Raw genomic sequence first — 1,208 nt, 5'->3', positions numbered from 1 at the left:
CATGTGTTAGGATTTCACAGGTACTCCATCAATATGTACTGTTATTATATATAAACTAAAAATAAAATCCATATACAACAGTTACTGCATATTCTGAAAGTATAATATTTAAGAGGTTTGGCTAAGAAACTGGAAAATACAATCCCAAATCTTGTCACAGTTTAAAATGTTTTCAATTACTATGTGTGGCATCGTACAATGGAAATAACACAGGCGTTAGACACAGCCACATTTGGGTTCAAATCTCATTTCTGCCCCTAACAAGCTTTGTGATCTTCCATGAATACCTTCATTTCCAAGAACTTCAGTTCCCACTCTTAAAAGTGTATTACCCATAGGAGCAGTACTATCTATTGAAATCATTCAGGTTGAAGAGCTGGCATTGGCAGACGTGTCATGGATGGTAGCTGTTATTAGATGATTACTTCCTTTATTGTCATTGTGAGAATTCAACTAAGTCAGTAGGTGCATGAAAAAGAAAGATAGTTTACAGAGGTCAGTTACGTCTTACCTATCTGGAATTTTACTGTCTCTAATCTCACTGTCAGAACACAGAACATAGAAACAGAAAGAAGCAAACAATTGTTCTTGGTAACAAAATGGATTGCACAAATATTTATATGAAAGTTTGAGCACTTGACTTTTTAGAAGCCACTTGAAAGCCCCCAGATAGCTGGTTAGGCTTGGATTTCATGGAAAATATAAGAGTAGAGTTAGAGGAGGGAATGAGTTAGTTAGATATGCTACTTAGTGAAAGCGACAGATCATGGCCTGAGAAAAGAACCATATAAAGTAAACACAAGAATGTAGAGCATGGTAGCTGAGTGCTTTTCTCCAGAAATACACATCTACATACCCAATAAACTATGATGACTTTGCTGTACCAGACTGCATCCTTAAAAAGTACTTATCCAACAGGTTAGAAAGGTAGAGAAGAATAAAGATTTTCATAAAAAGGTGGCGAAAACAAAAATAAATGATGTTTAAATGCCCAGTTATGTATAAGATTCAACTCTCTTGAACTCTTCACTCCTCTCATTTTTTCATAAATAGCTAAAATTTCACTGTATTCAGTACCCAAATGTTCGTTAAAAACAGAAACTCTAACAGAAAAATATGGGCTGAGATGAATAAAAACATTTATACATAGCTTGAAACAAGAAAGCTGAACAATAAATGGGATATTGTTCCTATGTGCTTATGGAAAC

The sequence above is a fragment of the Homo sapiens genome, chromosome 18 (assembly GCF_000001405.40).
Source record: "Homo sapiens chromosome 18, GRCh38.p14 Primary Assembly".
NCBI classification, from domain to species: domain Eukaryota; kingdom Metazoa; phylum Chordata; class Mammalia; order Primates; family Hominidae; genus Homo; species Homo sapiens.
The sequence above is the reverse complement of the archived record's forward strand: the minus strand, read 5'-3'. Positions refer to the sequence as shown.